At 40.6% G+C, this 19,028-nt stretch overlaps 1 protein-coding gene across 16 annotated transcripts in view, besides 2 other annotated features; it reads left to right on the top strand.

Annotated features, from left to right (window-relative positions):
- Positions 1-19,028, top strand: part of RIPOR2 (RHO family interacting cell polarization regulator 2) — a 237,885-nt gene that overhangs the window by 163,582 nt on the left and 55,275 nt on the right. For 13 of the 16 annotated variants that reach the window (XM_006715275.3, XM_011515012.2, NM_001286445.3 and 10 more), the window contains exons 2-8: positions 2,770-2,896; positions 4,788-4,943; positions 5,628-5,706; positions 7,698-7,721; positions 9,440-9,493; positions 13,137-13,286; positions 17,551-17,614. In XM_006715275.3, coding sequence (XP_006715338.1) covers positions 2,770-2,896; positions 4,788-4,943; positions 5,628-5,706; positions 7,698-7,721; positions 9,440-9,493; positions 13,137-13,286; positions 17,551-17,614 — 654 coding nt within the window. Of the gene's footprint in view, positions 1-1,316; positions 1,637-2,769; positions 2,897-4,787; positions 4,944-5,627; positions 5,707-7,697; positions 7,722-9,439; positions 9,494-13,136; positions 13,287-17,550; positions 17,615-19,028 lie in introns of those variants that run through there. The other 3 variants (XM_006715279.3, NM_015864.5, NM_001286447.2) reach the window with 1 other exon arrangement.
- Positions 2,040-2,976: an enhancer, noted in NCBI's record as "H3K27ac-H3K4me1 hESC enhancer chr6:24875839-24876775 (GRCh37/hg19 assembly coordinates)". NCBI's record gives its function as "activates a minimal SCP1, AML or CMV promoter by ChIP-STARR-seq in naive H9 embryonic stem cells {active_cell/tissue: H9 hESC(naive)}" and the evidence as "EXISTENCE:reporter gene assay evidence [ECO:0000049][PMID:30033119]".
- Positions 16,296-16,405: an enhancer, noted in NCBI's record as "active region_24159". NCBI's record gives its function as "activates an Ori minimal core promoter by ATAC-STARR-seq in GM12878 lymphoblastoid cells {active_cell/tissue: GM12878}" and the evidence as "EXISTENCE:reporter gene assay evidence [ECO:0000049][PMID:35858748]".

The following is a 19,028-nucleotide window of genomic DNA, read 5'->3' as shown; positions in this document are numbered from 1 at the left end:
GGGGGAAAATTGGCTTGAAAAATATAATTTCTAAGAGGTATGAGATAATGATATAGTTAAATATTTCGAATACTCTAAGTTTTTTCCTTTGATCAAAGAGTGTCTGTGATACAATAGATATAATGAATAATAATTTACAAAATAAGATAGAATACTAAAATTTGCCAAATTGAGACATTAAGGTGGGTGCTTGGTTGTCAAATTGAGTACAGAAAGAACAGAAATATTAAGAAAGCATGATAGTTTATTACAAGTTTGCATGGCATACAGTGATACCACAGGCATGCTTTATGAACCTAAGAAAGATCCCCTTAAAGAAATGTAGACAGATTTCTCAGTAACCAGCAGAGAGCACAGAGGAGAACCTCATTAAGGATTAAAGGAATTGTTAAATATAGTGAACCCCAAGTTTCTCTTCAAAGAATCAGTATGTCAGTACGTTCAGGTCTCCTATTCTTTGATTCTCCATTTTAAAGTTTAACTTTCTGGTTCTCTTCGTCTCCTTGCTCCTAGTTTCAGTAAACAGCATTCCCACCAGTCCTAATCAGTAGTTCACATTTGTTCCCCTGGTCACCTGCTTCATCCTGACTCATCCCAGTCACCTGTTGGACCTGAGTCACCCCTGGTCACCTGCTCTGACCTAAGTCACCTTTAGTTACCTGTTCCTAACCGTCCTTCCTGCCAAACTACCCACCCCACCACTGTGGCTCATACCCCTACTCTCTTTAAAATAGCCAATCAGAATTAGCTTAGACTGTGCGGTCCAACCCTAGCCAATAGGGGAACGACACAGCAGTAGGGCCATGCTTCAGGAATAAGAACTCCTGCCCCTCCCCTGTCCAAGTGTGGTCTCACCATTACTCCATTCATAAGTTGCACCCTTATATAGAAGTAAAAATTGCCTTGCTGAGAAAATTAAATTTATGTTTGAGTGCTATTTCCTTGTGGCATCAAAAATTTATTTATAACAGAATTAGGAGTTTTTTGAGCCTTGAGGCTGGGGAGAAGTAACCAGAGAGAACCTTATCTGCACTTGCATTTTGTCTAACCATTTGTGCCCTACATATTACTTTTACTGCTCATACGTACTTCTTCATTACTTCTAAAATTCTGGAGAATGCCCTAAAATGTAAGCTGCTCCTCCCCAGCTAGTATGGGATTTGCATCTCACCCAGATGAAAGAGCAAGCCGATTGCCATACCTGTAGCCAAGTGAGTCAGCACCTGTACCTCGCAAGAATGCATACAAACTCCAGGGCTGCTCTCTCCTGGAGAGGGAGGGAGGGGATTTAAAAACCTGCAGCAACATGGGGGAGGAGGCTGTTTGTCCTTCTCTCTCTGGGGAAGTAACTCGCTCAAACTGCCTTCCTTGCTGAGCTGCTTCGCGTAGCTTTGAGGAAGGTCTAGTGAAATTGGTCTTTCCATTACATCTGGATGTACTACCAGAGAGTTCTGCTGCTGTTGTTTTTTTTAGCTTTTCTTTCTTTGAGTCTTTAAAGGGCAATTGTCGACACTCTGCAAACATACCGATTTGTTGTCTGCCCACTTTGGAGTCTTCAATCTGGGCAGTAACTATTTACCCTTTTTCCTGCTAGCCTGTCCCCCTCTCTGGATTGAAGTCACCTGCTAAGACAATGGTATGTGCTTTGACTCCTCCTGATCTAAAAGGAATAGAATTACCTAACAGTTGCAGGGTCATCCTTTGGGGGAACTAGCCCTGGGCTTCTGCTCAGCTGAAGTTGTGTTTTGACAATGCTTCTTGGTCTGTTGTGGTAAGTCCTTACAAAAGCCAAGCAAAAGACTGAAATACAAGTTGTGCGCTTTCTGCTGTATTTTCCTCTTACCTTCCCCCCGACCGCCCTTGTGTTCTTATCTAACCTAGATTATCACATCTTTTGTGAGCACTCCCTTTACCCTTCTTATTTTGCACTGTCACAGTAGTGGCACAATCTTAGCTTTCAGAATATTCTTAAAGATAGAAAGGGAGAACTAGTTCAAGTAAGTTCATCTCTAAAGTAACCTAGTGTTTTAGCTTTATGACCCCTAGGTGTAGAATTCCGCCTTAAGACTTGACTGTGTTTTCAGTTTGACGCATGACTTATCTGAAGCTTTGACTTGGCCTATTTGTGTGTTTTTATTGTTGTTGAATGGAGATAAATGTTACAACAGTTTTCATGTTTTTGAGGGTGTGGTTGAACCTTGTTTTAAAAAAAAAAATTCTTGAAGGAAACCTAAAGTGATGGACAATTTTGTGTAATTTATATTTATTTTCTTTTCTTTCTTCTTTTCTTTTTTTTTAGACAGAGTTTTGCTCTTATTGCCCAGGCTGGAGTGTAGTGGGGCGATCTCGGCTCACTGCAACCTTCGCCTTCTGGGTTCAAGCAATTCTCCTGCCTCAGCCTCCCGAGTGGTTAGGATTACAGACATGCGCCACCACGCCCAGCTAATTTTGTATTTTTAGTAGAGATGGGGTTTCACCAGGTTGCCCAGGCTGGTCTTGAACTCCTGACTTCAGGTGATCCACCTGCCTCGGCCTCCCAAAGTGCTGGGATTACAGGTGTGAGCCACCGCACCTGGCCATAGATGGGTATCTTTTTTATTCTTTTGAGAGTTGAACCCTTCGTCTTCAGGACACTCCATAATAAAGAACCTCACAAGCACTTAACAGTCTCATGGCTTACTTTACATCCTTTATCATTGTTGACAAGCTTAGTGCATCTTCTGTCTGAACCTGCCTATAAATTGTCATGATCTTTCCACTGTCTTCTAGGACTACCGACCAGACTCCCGGAAATCATGTTGGTAGGATCCCAGTCTTTTTCGCCTGGAGGGCCCAATGGGATCATTAGAAGCCAGTCCTTTGCGGGTTTCAGCGGCCTCCAGGAAAGGCGATCCAGGCAAGTACTGTGTGGTTCTCTCCCGGGATGCAGCTTGCCAAGGAAGTGAACTTTGATGTTGTGAAGAGGGTCTGTGTGCATTCAGCCTTGTCAAACCGCCCCCCGGCCTCCTCCCCATTTTAATCTTTTTCATGGAAAGGATGTACTAAAAATTAAGTGCTATAGTTTATTTTCTATCATTTAGAATTCCTCCTGCAAGGATGATGGCTGAGGATTTAGGACAAACTAGTGATATATGCATAGACCTCTCACTACCCCTCCTTCCACCCCTTTTTGAAGCACATTTTCCATTGCATTCAGACTTTGGAGACTATGTTTGCTATGAAATCATGCAGTGGATAATGATTCTGCCTCTGCAGATTGACTCTGGGGAGCAGATGTAATTCAGACAGAGGTTGCCAAAGTTAGTTTTTCTAGTTTCCTGAATCTCCTCTCATCTGAAACAGGACTTAGGGGAACTTAAGAAAGAAAGAACAGACAGTGAATAAGCAACATGTAACCAAGTTTATCTTCAGTTTTTCTGTTATCATAAAGGTCTTTGCCCTCTGAGGGGCCCTATGTGCTTTAACCTGTATTGTCCCATTTGTGCACACGGTGATGGCAGAGAGTATAACGAATAACTAACCTGGGAGGGGTGCAGTAGGCACCTTCCGGCCTCGGAGGTCTCGGCTTTCCTACTGATAGCTGGGTCAGTGAGTGGCCTAGCCTCTGCATCTCCTAATTAGATCAGTACTCTGGTTTTAAGTTATCAGATATCCATCTTACCGCTGCAAGCTGTATCCCTGGCACTACTAGAGATGTTGAAATTTTATAAGTTATACCTAATCAGTAATTTGCTTCCTAAAAATAAAGCTTTTAAAAAAGCTACGTGTATTTTAATGTCATATAGAATTAGCTATTTGTCATGCTTATGGTCCCTTATCGAAAAGAATTTATTCACATCCTCGTTGAATTTCATAGACACTTGTACCTAAAATTGCATAGTGCATGTATCTTTTTAGTTGGATTATATCCTTCTGCCTGTTTATTATGTCCACCTGGAACTCTTTGCCCTTAGCTTCCTATGATGTTTTAGAAAAGCAATACATTTCCACTCAGAATACACATTCCCTGAAGCCAGACTTTGACTCTAGGTAGCCTCTGCCCAACAGAGCTTTCAGGTTTCAGCAGTTAACAAATCTAATACTAAGAAACTAAATGCAGGATGGCTCAGATCTGGGAACATTACCTTCTGCAAAGGACACTAGTGTGAACACAAGATGATTACAAAGACATTTCTTGGTCAGGCACAGTGGCTCATGCCTGTAATCCCAGCACTTTGAGAGTCTAAGGCTGGAGGATTGCTTGAAGCCAAGAGATCAAGACCAGCCTGGGCAACATAGCAAGACCCCATCTCTACAAAAAATGTTTTAAAAAATTATCCCAGCACTTTGAGAGGCCACAGCAGGAGGATTGCCTGAAGCTAGACCCTATCTCTACAAAGAAAAAAAAAATTAGCCAGGTGTGGTGGTGCATGCCTGTGGTCCCAGTACCTCGGGAGGCTGAGGCAGGAGGACCACTTGAGCCCAGGAGTTCAAGGCTGCAGTGAGCTATGATTGGACCACTGCACTTTGCCCTGGGCACCAAACTGAGACCCCCTCTCTTTAAACAACAACAAACTATTTAGCTGGGTGTGGTGGCACATGCTACTTGGGAGGCTGAGGATCACTTGAGCTCATGAGTCCAGGAGTTCAAGGCTGCAGTGAGCTATGATCACACCACCATACTCCAGCCTGGATGACAGAAGAAGACTTTGTCTCTAAAACAAACAAGTAAATAATAGAAGACATTTTTCTTTGGTCAAATCCTTTTGGATGCCCAATCCTCACAATTTCTTCTGTTCTTTCCATAGGTGTAACTCCTTCATTGAAAATTCCTCCGCTCTCAAGAAGCCTCAGGCCAAACTGAAGAAAATGCACAATTTAGGCCACAAAAACAACAATCCCCCCAAAGAGCCTCAGCCTAAAAGGGTGGAAGAAGTCTACAGGGCCTTGAAAAATGGACTTGAGTAAGAACTTGAACCTGATAATGTACTTTAAGGAAAGACCCAAGGGGTCAGAGAAAAGCTGGTCTTATGAGATCATTTTTCAGATGTCTATTTCTGTAGGAGGTATTTTATTCTTGTACCACAATTAGGGAAGCCTGACATAAGTCCCAGAGATGGGAAATATATTGGTATTCCACATCATATTCATAACATTGATGGAGACCTGGAACCCTGTGCAGTATTGAGTTTCACTTAAACAATGATGGACAGACATATCCATTCTAGACATTGCTGAAGGAGGGTTCTGAAACCTCCCTGATATCTTACAGGGATTGTGAACCCAGAATAAGACTTTCCTAGTGTGCAATGGGACATTCACTATTTGTTCTATTTGACTAGATAGAATTCTGTCAGGCCAGAGCCAGGGCTGACTCTACAGACCTCTTGCCCCTTGCCTCCCCACTGGTTTTTCTTTTCTCGACTTTCAGCTTTTTTCTCCTTTTCTACTTTCCCAGCTGGATAGTATCCAGTGCCACTGCTAGACCTTTCAAAATGTTGAAAGACTGGGAAAATACAAAGCCTCCTGCCCAACTACAGAGCAAGGTTCAATTCTTAATCCCCTTTGAGAAGGAAAAGTCAGCAACAGCACCAGATTCCACTTAACAGGCGCAGAGATTACGATTACATCTTGTCTTATCTTTGCAGTGAATATCTGGAGGTTCACCAGACGGAGCTGGACAAGTTGACAGCTCAGTTAAAAGATATGAAAAGAAACTCTCGCCTGGTAGGTACTATGCAGTCATTATGATGTTAACACTGTTCTTTTTAGCCAAATAGCTTCTTTTACTGGATGGGGCTGGGGAGGAATGTTTGAGAAAAGCAGATCCAAGGGGCAGAGTACTATCTGCATCCCCCAGTATGTCTTAGAAGGAAAAAGAAGGGTATGTTTTCTTCTTAATGCATTCTAGTTAATACTTTTCAATATTTTCCAAGCATGTTTATGAGATCATTTTTTAAATGTATATCTTCATGAAACTTTATAATCAGGAAAAAAATTTTTAATGTCCTCTACCACCCTCCTAAATAATACAAGGAAATGAAAAGTTGAAGTTTTCCTAGCATATTGTTAGTACATACAGAATTTGGGTCCAGGCACGGTAGCTCATGCTTGTTATCCCAACACTTTGGGAAGCCAAGGCGGGAGGAACGCTTGAGGCCAGGAGTTCGAGACCAGCCTGAGCAACAAAGTGAGACCCACCCCCCGTCTGTGTTTTTAAAAAATATAAAAAATTAATATAAATAATTTGGAATCTAGAACTTTTACTCCAATTTTTAAAAAATATAATCAGTAAAATCAGGGAGGGAAAAGAGGCTCAAAGGAGTAACCACCATGAGAAGTTAAGAGTTCTTAGACCAGATCAAGTACATATTATGTTGCAAATTTCTTCTATTCTCATGAATCTGTGAGGACTTGTGTGATTGAAGAGGTGGTTCTAATGTCTACACTATTTTAAATGATTTTGTTCAACTCTACATATTATACCTCACTGTTTCAAGAAATCAGCCCAAGAAAACTCAACATAGTCCTAGGAGGTGCAGCTAGACATTCATAGCTGCTGTCTTTTTCTTTTGTAGGAAATGTGCTCAAATGTATACTGTTGTCCTTTTCAAAGGCTTAGAGATTCAAGGCTTTATCAATGTTAAAAATTTTTATGTTCTACTGATGTTAGGATATAAATTGCCTGCATCTATGTGGAACCCCTGTGTCAGGGCTTTCAGAGCTGGTGAATGCGCTTGACCATCCTCAGTGGCTGCAAATATCTCTCCTGGAAAACAACAGTGAACAAATGCAGGGGCTTCTGCCAAGACCTCATGTTCCGTAAAAATCCTTCAATTAGAGGATATGAGGATAGTGCACTGATTATACTATGATACTATGAGCACACAGGAAATGAGCTGGCTTTAAAAACAATTTGAGAAAAGCTTATCACAGCCTCAAGAACTCTTCTTAAGGCCGGGCGTGGTGGCTCACACCTGTAATCCCCAGCACTTTGGGAGGCTGAGGCGGGTGGATCACCCAAGGTCAGGAGTTCAAGACCAGCTTGGCCAACGTGGCGAGACCCTGTCTCTACTAAAAATACAAAAATTAGCTGGGCGTGGTGGTGGGTGCCTGTAATCCCAGCTACTCAGGAGGCTGAGGCAGGAGAATCGCTTGAACCAGGGAGGAGGAAGTTGCGGTGAGCCGAGATCGTGCCACTGCACTCCAGCCTGGGCAAAAGAGCGAAACTCTGTCTCAAAAACAAAACAAAACTCTTCTTAAATATCAATTTTATTTGTTTAGACAGCGAGGCAGGTATTTTTTAACACATATGCCACTGCTATGTTTTATATTCGTACCATTTATTTTAAATTTTTTTTAATGACCATGAATTTACATGCCCTTCAATAGGTAGGACGGGAGAGCTCAAAGCAAGTGAAAACTTTAGAGATCCCAAGGGGCAGGGAGGACTGCATGCAATGCTAGAAACAGACTGTAAATAAATGTCAGCTCTTAAATGTACTCTTACTGGTATTTAAAATAACCCAAGTTTTTATTCTTTTAAAGCAAAATAACCCAAGTTTTTATTCTTTTAAAGTAAAACATCCAGTAGAATTTTGTAGGGATGATCATTATTTCCACAGATAATGTGCAAATGTGGGCTAAATCATTCTGTTAAGATGGGTAACCTTTTGAAGGATAATGTTTAAATGCAGATATTCCTTTTTTTATTGTAGGGTGTACTGTATGACCTAGACAAGGTAAGTTGCCATTCCGTGTTGGGGTGCTAATAAGAAAAAAATTCTGCATCCTTGCTGGGCACGGTGGCTCACGCCTGTCATCCCAGCACTTTGGGAGGCCGAGGTGGGTGGATCACTTGAGCTTAGGAGTTTGAGACCTGCCTGGGCAATGTGGCAAAATCCCATCTCTACCAAAAAATGAAATACAAAACATTATCCAGGCATGGTAGTGTGTGCCTGTGGTCCCAGCTACCCAGGAGGCTGAGGTGGGAGGATCACCTGAAGCCAGGAGGTCGAGGCAGCAGTGAGCCGTGATTGCACCCACTGCACTCCAGCCTGGGTTGAGAGAGCAAAACCCTGTCTCAAAAAATAAAACAAAACTCTGCATCTTTGAGAAGTCAATGGGAGACCCTCTTAGAGACAGTAAAATCCTAGAGAACTAATAGTTTTTTGAATCCTGGAAAAATGCATACTTTTGTCTGATGAGGATAATGAACAAGTACTGTGATCTATAGATTAAATAAAGTGTTTAAGGTCACTTCCATTAAAATGCCACTGGGTTGTAGTGTTTTTATAAGTTTAAGAACTTCCCAGGCGTTTGGAGGCCTTTACCTGTGTTGTCTCTGAATATAAATTACTATACTTCATCAAATCTGAGTCATTGTTGATTAGAAAATGCACCATTATTTCATGTGCCATGAAGAGAAAAAAAGGATTCCAGTTAAAATCTGACAGTTGTTTCATTTTACCTAAAATTTGCATTTTATAGTTATCAAGAAAACTGTTAGGTCTGTTTAGACACAGATTTTTTTTCTCTTTCTTTTTAAAAAAATTTATATACGGTGCTGCTCCATGCCTTTCTATGTGCACAATAATTTTATTTCAATGCTGAATCATAGTGTGTTCTTTTTGAAGACATTTTAAAAGGCAAATAAATGCATATAATAATAATTACAACTCAAAGAGATGACACATGAACAACTATGATTATCTTTGAGCTTGTACAGGCAGCTGTCTGCCGGTAGCAATTGTAAAATGCACCCCAATTTCAAAGACACTAAAATGTGAATGGGAAAAAAAACCAATCTTAGAAGACAAAATATATTATTATGGAGAAATTTAAATATACTCCAATATGATACTGTTCTGTCAGAATCTAATGACTTCCATTGGATTGGCCTTTCTTCATGTTAAACACAAGGATTCCGATAACTAATTCAAGTTCACTTCTCAAAATATTTATTCAATATTAAAAAAATAAATTTCCAGGGCCGGGCATGGTGGCTCATATCTGTAATCCCAGCACTTTGGGAGGCCAAGGCAGGTGGATCACCTGAGCTCAGAAGTTCAAGACCAGCCTGGTCAACATGGAGAAACCCCGTCTCTACTAAATATACAAAAATTAGCCAGGCATGGTGGCGGGCACCTGTAATCCCAGCTACTTGGGAGGCTGAGGCAGGAGAATCGCTTGAACCCAGGAGGCAAAGGTTGCAGTGAGCTCAGATTGTGCCATTGTGCTCTAGCCTGGGCAACAAGAGCGAAACTTCATCTCAAAAAAAAAAAAAAAAAATCCAAATTGGTATTAGAGAATCTCTAAAATAGCTTCAAAGATAGAAGGAAAGGGGAAATATATTGGATTTTCTAATACTTTTGAGTATGATATAATCAAGATATTCTCACAAGCCTAAGTCAATTGAACTATAAATGACTGTACTTTTTCAAACTTCTTTTAATTCCAGCAAATTAAAACAATTGAAAGATACATGAGACGCCTGGAGTTTCATATAAGTAAGGTAACTGAAATTCCTGTTCTCATTGCCTGTTTTTCAGTTCTGTTGCTAATCAAATACACCTTTGGGCTGAGCGTAGTATCTAGTGCGTGGAGAACTTCCTATCCAATTGACTCCTAAGCTGACTAGCAATTACGTCATCAAGTGGGCACTAAAGATGGAGGAACAATAAGAATGGAAGGCCTGATGGCCCAGCACAGTTTTGACTCTACCTCAGTTCCACAAACATTTATTAAGTGCTAAGTAACAGGCACAGTTACTTCCAGCCTCAGTGTAGAGTGCTTAGAGATAAACTATCAATCAAACTAGCCCTACAAAAAACTTCATGTTTGTCTAACTTTACACTCTGGTTCCACATAACACTTGGTGCCCCGTAAACTTCTTCATGAAGGCCTTATAACTACCAAAAGACCACTGTCTCAGCGCCTCCCTCAATCTCTCTCAAGCCCTTGGCTCTTTCCACTCTCCCTCATATGGCATGGTTTTCGGGTGCCATTTTATCCTCTCTCCCCTAGATGTGCACTACTTTGTCAGTGTCCCTGACACCCAGCCCTGAACCCCATAGTTCACTGGTGGTCCAATGAGGCTGACTATCACCCCCTTGTTCTGGGCACTATCAGGAGTTATTGGTGCCACCTAGAAAATATTTACCTTTAGAGGCAGCTAAATCACACCATTATCAATTCCTGTTTGTCTATATCTATCAGCCTCTCTTCCAAGTGGGGAGCCTGGGAGTTTTAGCAGATCTCTCTAAGAGTCAGAAGCCCTAGGTTCTATTCCCAGCTCTGCCACCTACTCACTTGCTATGTCATCTATGTGAATCTTGGCTTTCTACTCTGTGAAGTGGAGCTGGGGAGGTACACAGATTTGATCTACATGATCCTAAGAATCCTTTCTGGTTTAAAATTCTAGGATGATTTGTATGTATGGATATACATGTATATGCTACTGCCTTCGTACATTCTTGCTTTGAAAGATATTTACTACCTAGGCAAATCTGAAATTGCTCCTATTTCTGCTAAACTCAATAAATAAAACAATGACATCCATCAGAAGGTATTTATGTGGCAGGCAAGCTTTGACATATTATTGTTTAATTCAAAAAACAGCAAGAAAACAATCAGTATTAGGTAAGGGTATATTTATCAATCTTGCATCCATGGTTGTTAGATACAACAATCCCAATGGTTTTCAAAGGTCAGTGGTACTCTTTCTGTTTGCAATATCTTATATTCAGACGCCTAACAAATTATATGTAATTGAATGATTCAATTAATCAGTTTATTTAATGAGCCACTGCTGACTGATAGGTAAGATAAATGCTTGCCTACAAATGGCCTTCTGCTAAGGTGACTACCTAGGTATACTTTATCCAAAAGTTTAATTCCATTTGGCTAGGATAGGTTGATATTTAAGCAAAAACAAAGAATAAACTTTCTCACTACACAAAGTAATAGATTAAGTCATTATGGCTATACCGATGGTCCTGTGGGCACTGTCTCCTTATTGAAAGGATAACAAGCTCAGAAACTTTGGCGTACCCACTAGTAGGGGAAAGGGTTGCAAGGGCAGTTCCCCAGAAGACCACATGGGTGACATAGCCTGACCTGCATTGGAAGAGATATTAGCACTTGGGTTTCTAAAAGTTTTGTGGGGATCTCCCACATCAGAACAATTTGCAATGTTTATTTAAAATTTCAGATTCCTGGCCCAGCCCTAACCTACTGAATCAGCATCTCAGAGTGGGGCCTGGGCATCAGCATTTTACCAAGCTCACCAGATGAGGCTTAGCTTTAAAGCACGGAAACCACACTCTATGCCAACCATCAACCAAAAGATGTCATCAGCAGATAGGACACTCCTTGAGTCTTATATCTCCCTCTTAATCAAAGATAAATCCACTGACCCTGAAGATTAAAGATGATTCTTTTCAGTTTGGGCATTCTTCTCAGCAGAGTTGAGTGCATTGTTGAAGTAAATAGCAACAAAGAATCCTTTAATCAAGAGAATAATTTTTAGTCTCTTCATGTTTGCATTCTAAACTAAGTGTCATTGATATCTGTGTAGAGAATGCAATTATGGAAAATTGTAATCCTCAAACAGGTTATAGTAATGCTTTTTAGTGAGCAGCCAAAAGTTTGCCTTCAGAACAAAACGGGACTCTTAAACTCTGAAATCTAGTATATGCATCTCCACCTTCTTCTGGATCTATAGTTAAGCTTCCTTTTTGAAGAAACAAAGTTCATACTGAAATGAAAATTCAAATAGTGCTAGGTAAGTATGCCTCCCCAAAGCAACAGGTTTTATTTGCTTTTGACAATGCCTGATGGTATTGTTGTTTGTTATCCGCCTGAAAATTCTTGTAGTTAACTGCAGTCAGTTAAAGATAGTACCAGACTTATAGAGATAAATATCATTAGGAATAACTTTAGAACAGGTTTTTTTTTTAGCTAAGCACAATGATGTGCACCTGTAGTCTCAGCTACTTGGGAGGTTAAGAGGATCACTTGAGCCCAGCAGTTAGAGACCAGCCTGAGCAACATAGCAAGACCTCATCTCAAAAAAAAAAAAAAAAAAATTTTCAACCCTAGCACTACTGGCATTTGGGGATAATTCTCTATTGCAGGAAGCTGTCCTCTGCATTATAGGATGTTTAGCAGCATGCCTGGCCTCTACCCACTAGATGCCAGTAGACCCCTGGGGGTCAAAATTGCCTTGGGTTGATTGAGAATCACTGCCTTAGAAGAATTAGCTGATTATCAGGCTTATATGAGTATAAAATCAATAGTCATTTGAAAAGGGTATATTGTTATTATTTAGAAGCATAAGTGTAGATGTGTAGCAAAAGAAAAGTTCATTTATATTGCTTCAATTTATTTTTTTGTAATTGTCACATAATTTACACGAAAAAGAGTTGAGTTCTTAAGTGTTCAGTTTGATATATTTAGATAATTGTGTTTTACCCTAATTTTAAGAATAACTTTTTCCTTTACAGTTGAGCCAAGACTTTACAAAAGTTATCTTCAATATATATCCCCAAGTTACTTTATGAAATACTAAATCTGGATGTGTAAATATCAGGATTACAAATCCTAATATTGTGACACTACCTCTTAAAGTGATATTAGCCTAGGATACTACAAAGTTTTCACCTTGGTATGAAATTGTACAAACCCTTTCAGTGTTTGTTCTATATACAGAAGGCTCTCATCTTCCTTATTTAATAGTTACAGTCTTATTTAATACTTAATTATTTTTATTATTTAATACTTATTTGTTTAATACTTATTTAATACTTACAGAAAGCTCTCATCTTTCTTATTTAATACTTACAGTCCACCCATGAACCCACAAAGTCACCTGGGAGTCATTTTAAACAATTCCAATGATAGCCTCAAACAATGCAAGAGAGGCACTTCCCTTTTGCATAATTTGAAAACAGGATTAGAGCAAAATCTGTTTTGAGACAAAATGTATCACAGTGGCTACAATAAAAACGATTGGTCCCTATCTAAAAGGATAATACTTCTACAGGATTCTCTTTGTAGAGGTCAGAAATATAAAGTAAATTAAGCATGTAACAATGATCTATGTATTTTCTTTCAAGCCTGACATTTATTTCTGTTTCCTGTTTTGATTCTGGCAGGTAGATGAACTCTATGAAGCTTATTGTATCCAGCGACGCCTCCAGGATGGTGCCAGCAAAATGAAGCAAGCCTTCGCAACATCCCCTGCCAGCAAAGCTGCCCGGGAGAGTCTGACAGAGATCAATCGGAGCTTCAAGGAGTACACAGAGGTATAACTCCCTAACCTGCTTAAGTTGCCGAATCCCATCTGGCCTGGTGTGAATTGTTGGTAATTGCCAAGAACAAGGCAAACAGCAACCCACAACCTCATTCCACCCTCTAGAAAGATAGGTTTTACTGTTAGCCTAAAAAGTATGCAAGAAAGGCAATCGGTAGAATTGCTTAAAATGAATGAATAAGCTGGGAGTGGCGGCATGTGCCTGTAGTCCTAGTTATTCAAGAGGCTGAGGCAAGAGCATTGCTTGAGCCCAGGAGTTCAAGGCTGCGGTGAGCTACGATCGCGCCACTGCACTCCAGCCTGGGTGACAGAGCGAGGCCACATCTCTAAAATAAAATAAAATGAATGCGTAAACCACATTGCCCTGATTTGTGTCATTTAAACACACTTCTAAATATTCTAGTGTAAATCGAGCCTAGTTTTATCCCTGGAAGTGGAGCAGACCCTATGGTTCAGATAGCTACACTGGATGTCAGTGTTGGATCAGTAACCCTCTGCCTACAATGTTTTTTTTAATTGTGAGAAATTTTTATCATAAAGGAGCCAAGATTAAGAACCATGAACAGAAGTGTGCTTTCCTGGTTTCCAACTCTCTGGGGCCCAAGCATCTGACATAGAGAGGTCTTCACTCCTCCTGGGGTCACCTAATACCAATGTCTTTGATGAAATGACTAAATTATTAAAGCAGCACTCCTCACTATCCCATGAGTCTTTGTTCAGAGATCAGATTTCATGAATGAAGTCATCAGCCTGTAGAGGGTCTGTTGGACAATTCCCAGAGCTGAGCATCTGGTTCAGCCCTGGGATCAGAAGGACAGCTTGGATGACTGTCAGTAGGATCCCTTTGTGTGTACACTCCCGTGTTGCCTCTTGTCTAAACCAAGTTTCTCTCTTTATTTGACTTAAAGCAGGGCTTCTTTACCTAAGTTCCTCCTTTAGAATAATTTTTTTATTATTTTTTGAGAGATAGAGTCTTGCTCTGTCACACAGGCTGGAGTGCAGTGGCGCGATCTTGGCTCACTGCAATCTCTGCCTCCCGGGTTCAAGTGATTCTCCTGCCTCAGCTTCCCAAGTACCTCTCCTGCCTCAGCTTCCCAAGTAGCTGGGACTACAGGTGTGTGCCACCACACCCGGCTAATTTTTGTATTTTTAGTAGAGACGGAGTTTTACTATACGTTGGCCAGGCTGGTCTCGAACTCCTGATCTCAGGTGATCCACTCGCCTCTGCCTCCCAAAGTGCTGGGATTACAGGCATGAGCCACTGAGCCCGGCCTAGAATAATGTTTTTTAAATGCATAAAATAAAATACATAGGAATTGAAAAGAAGAAAATATATTGAAATACAGTTATTTCAAAATCATCAGTATAGTTTTCAAAATATTTCAAAAGTCAAATATGTGACATAGTTCTATGCTGCTGCTTTATTAACACATCAAATTATAAGATCTAGTAGTGGCTCTAATAACTACTGAAACATCAAAGTAATGAAAAGTATAAATGATTTTTTAAAAAGTTATCTGCAATAAATAATGTGACATGAACATATATGTGATTTCTATCAGTGTCAAAGTCACAGGTATGGCTAATACTGCTGTGGCTTGTTTTCTACCTTCATCATACCTAAACATGTTTAATTTCAGTTAAATGATAGTGAAAATAAAGATCTGACTCTTCCCACCCTCCCCCATCCTACTTTGTAGAGCTGCAGATTGAAAATTCCTGGCCTAGAAGCAGTCCTAGTTCACGAGACCCCATTTCTACAGATCTCTGAAATGAGGAGAGCCGTTTCCAATTATAAAGGATGTTTATAGGACAAATGCAGATAACTGACCAGCAGAATGCAGGGGCTGCCTTTGTTGGCATATTTGCAGGTCATTTCAGACACAGCCACCCTTGATCAAGTGCCAGGGCATGGCATCATGACCTTGCTCACAAATTCAAAGACATAGAGTGCAATTTAAACTGCCTTAGAGAAGAAAGAAGTCCAGGACTTCTGTAGCCTCATACCTCATTTGGTATCAGGTGGTTTTATATCCTCATGGCCGGGTGCAGCGGCTTATACCTGTAATCCCAGCACTTTGGGAGGCCAAGTTGGGAGGTTCACTTGAGGTCAGGAGTTCAAGACTAGCCCAGCCAACATAGCAAAACCCCGTCTCTACTAAAAATACAAAAATTAGCCGGGCGTGGTGGCGGGCACCTGTAATCCCAGCTACTCGTGAGGCTGAGGCAGGAGAATCGCTTGAACCTGGGAGGCAGAGGTTGCAGTGAGCTGAGACGGCGCCACTACACTCCAGCCTGGGTGACAGATAGAGACTCTATCTCAAAAAAACAAAAAAGCAAGAAAGAAATACATCCTCACATAACCACAAAAGCCAGCATGTTATTATGATGATGGTTTAAAATGAGGATTTAACAATGAGGTCAAGGTAGGCTCAGGTGCTTTTTCGTGTGCAGCAATGTTCATCAGTGGCTGTGGGTGGTGGGGGGGTGCCAGTGGTCGGGGGAGGAAAATTTTGACCATGGATGTCCTCAAGTCTTAACCTAGCTGCTCTCACGTTTTTCAGAGATACTGGTAGCAATCCTGACATGCATGATAGCATAGTTGATATGTCTGGAAACTGTTTCTTCACAGAAGTGCCCAATACTCTGAGGAAATAAATTGGTTTATAATACTGAGGCTTTGTTTTCAAGGCTTTCAAGCTACGCAGAGCTCAGACTTCAGGAAGTTTTCCCCAGCCTTGCTAGCTAGTTCAGGTAGTGAGAATTTACAAGGGAAAAAGCAATGCCATTCTCTTTGCATCCCATGAGAGTGATCATTTGGAGCAGAACAACGAAACATAGAAGAATCAGAACCTCTAGGCTGAGGTCCTCAGCATACAGAATTCAAATGGAAGCAATACCAGCCTGCACTAATCAAGCTGGCCATGCTTTTGTCAGTGAGGCCACCCTCGAACCCCTAGCCTTGTGGGAGGCTGGCAACTGAGGGAGAAGCCTGCAGACATCACCCTGCATCAAGCTTCAATGGAGACTGCTGCTTAGCATAGCAGAGGCAGCATCCAGATTGTAAGCTGGTCAAGCAGCAGAAGGGCCTCCCTGGGGATGGCCCATGGCCGCAGCACTTTCCCTTTTCATTTCTAACTGCAATTGTTCTATTTAGGTCCTCAGGTATTGAGGAAGTAGGGTGAGGCTAGTTATGTATCTAACCACATGCACAGATGGTGTTACTCCTTCTCTCTATCCTTTTCCTTCAACATCAAAGAGAAGACCCTTGTCAGACCCAAAAATAATTTTTGGGGCGCTGTAGGTTTGCAGTAGGAAGTCTGCCTTACTCACTTGAGCAGAATTCAGCCCTTGTGCTCTTTTGGCCCCAAATTTTTAAGAAAAATTTCAAACCTATAGAAAAATTGAAAGACTTGTACATTGAACACCATATGCCTTTATCTAGATTTACCAATTGGTAATATTTGGCCATATTTGCTTTCCCTCTCTCTCATATGATCAAATCCCCCTCAAGTCATTTGACAGTAAGTGATAGACATCATGACATTTCACCCTATATGTATTTTAACCTGGATCTCTTTTTAAAATTTATTTGTAATTGGCAAATAAAAACTACATATTTATGGTATACAACTTGATGTTTTGAAGTGTGTATGCACAGAAATATGTAATACAATGGCTAAATCAAGCCAGGGATCTCTTAATAGTAACCTATGGAATATCTACATTTCCTACATAACCACATACCATTACTACAACCAAGAAAATTGACAATCATCCCATAGAATTATATAACATATTGTCCATTTTCAAGTTTTCCCTATTTGGATCAATAATGTCTTTTATAAATGTTTTGATTTATTTACTTTCAAATCAGGATATTATCAAGGTTAAGTTGTTACATTTGGTGATTATGTTTGTCTAGTCTCTTTATGTAGAAATTTTTTCCCCTATGATACTGCCTTTTTGTAGAATTCATGCTAATTCCTATAGACTACCCCACATTCTGAATGTGTCTATTTTTGATATAATCTGACTTGCTCATCTATGCCCTAAATTTCCTGTACACTAAAAGGTGGGCTTAGACTCAGATCAAACATTTTGTCAAGAATGTTTCTTAGGCTGTGCTGTGTGGAGCAAACAGGTAAATGCTTCTCGTTGTTCACGCAGTGGTTGTGCTGCTGTTCGAACGTCGTGTGCTTTGAGCTGTTGGGTGAAAGGCTAGCTCTCATGATCGTCTCCTGTCCTCTTTGCAGAATATGTGCACCATTGAAGTGGAGCTAGAGAATCTGCTGGGAGAATTCTCCATCAAGATGAAAGGTATTATTTTCCTTGTTTAGAGAGAATAAGGAGCCATCTCTGCAGAGTGCAGAGCTCCTTGAAGTTTGAGAGCCCATGCTATTTTTATTTTCCTTGCAAAGACGCAGCGCCACCCACTCTCAACCCACCCCACTTTTGATAGTTTACTGATGCTTCTCATCCTGAGGCTTACCTACACACACAAAAATATTATGACAGAATCTCAAACATACACAGAAGTGGAGAGAACATTATAATGAGCCCCCATAAACCCATCACCTAGATGTAATAATTAGCAAGATTTTGCCACATTTGCTCCATCTCTTTGCTTTTGTTTTTCCTTTGATAAAAGAGAAGTCCTTTGATGAAATAAAACCCAGATATGTCAGTCTGCTGCTATACACTTCAGTATGCATCTCTTAAAGCATGGGGCTGTCATCTTACATAACCACGATGCCAAGTACTGTCACGTTTTCACAGCTAACAAAAATAATAAACCCTGGTTATTAACCCATTCCATTATCAGATTTCCCCCGTTGTCTCAAAAATGCCTTGTACATTTGATTAGTTCAAATTAGGATCCCAACAAGGTCCATGCATTACAATTGGTTGTTAGGTATATCTTTTAGATTTCCTTTAATCTAAAACAAACCTCTCCCTACCTTTTTTTCTACCCTTGACTTGCTGTAGAAACCATTGTACAGAATGTCCCACATTCTAGCTTGTCTGTTGGCTTCTTTGGGGTGATCTTTAAATTCTTCCTTTAGCTCCTCATGTTTCTAGCAAACTAACTATGAAATTTTGTAAATCTTGGTGTTAAACCCACAGAGAATTTTTCCCCTCCCAGTGCCTTTCTGGTATTTATTCCAGAAAGTTCCAAACTAGACACATTATTGAGTTAAACCACAGCATCTTCAGAACAAAAACGAAGTCTGGTTTTAGAAAATAGAGCATTGCTCAGGTGTTGTCAGATTTACGGCTCAGTGGCCAGGCATGGCTGTCAAATGAGCGGCCATCACAGCAAGTCAATTTCTCTTCCAAGTTTTGGCCCATCTGACTGCAGTGAAGAGGGCTGGTGCTTATGCAATTCTGAGGTTTCTTAGCAGCTTGATCCCTGGGTTGCTAATGGGGATTTAATCACCTTCTTTCTACTTTCTGCAATTAAGGGAGTAAAGAAAGGAGACTTTTTTTTGAAAGGGCTCGACAGGAGGGCTTCATTTTCCAATGAATCATCTAACTCAGGAGGGAAATTATTCTGTCAAGCACTAGGCACTGACATGTAAGAGCCTGTCTGAGAATACCTGGAATATAAATGACCTTGACCCTCAGCTTCCCAAATGGCTGCATGCTTCTCTTCCGGCAGATCCGGTAGGGAATCAGTTTAGTATTCAGTGTTAAGTTTCAACACTTGCTTTGCTACTGAGTCTGGCATCTG

Source organism: Homo sapiens, chromosome 6 (assembly GCF_000001405.40).
Source record: "Homo sapiens chromosome 6, GRCh38.p14 Primary Assembly".
In the NCBI taxonomy this organism is placed as follows: Eukaryota; Metazoa; Chordata; class Mammalia; order Primates; family Hominidae; genus Homo; species Homo sapiens.
Note: the sequence above shows the minus strand (reverse complement) of the source record. Positions and strands in the feature narration are given on the sequence as shown.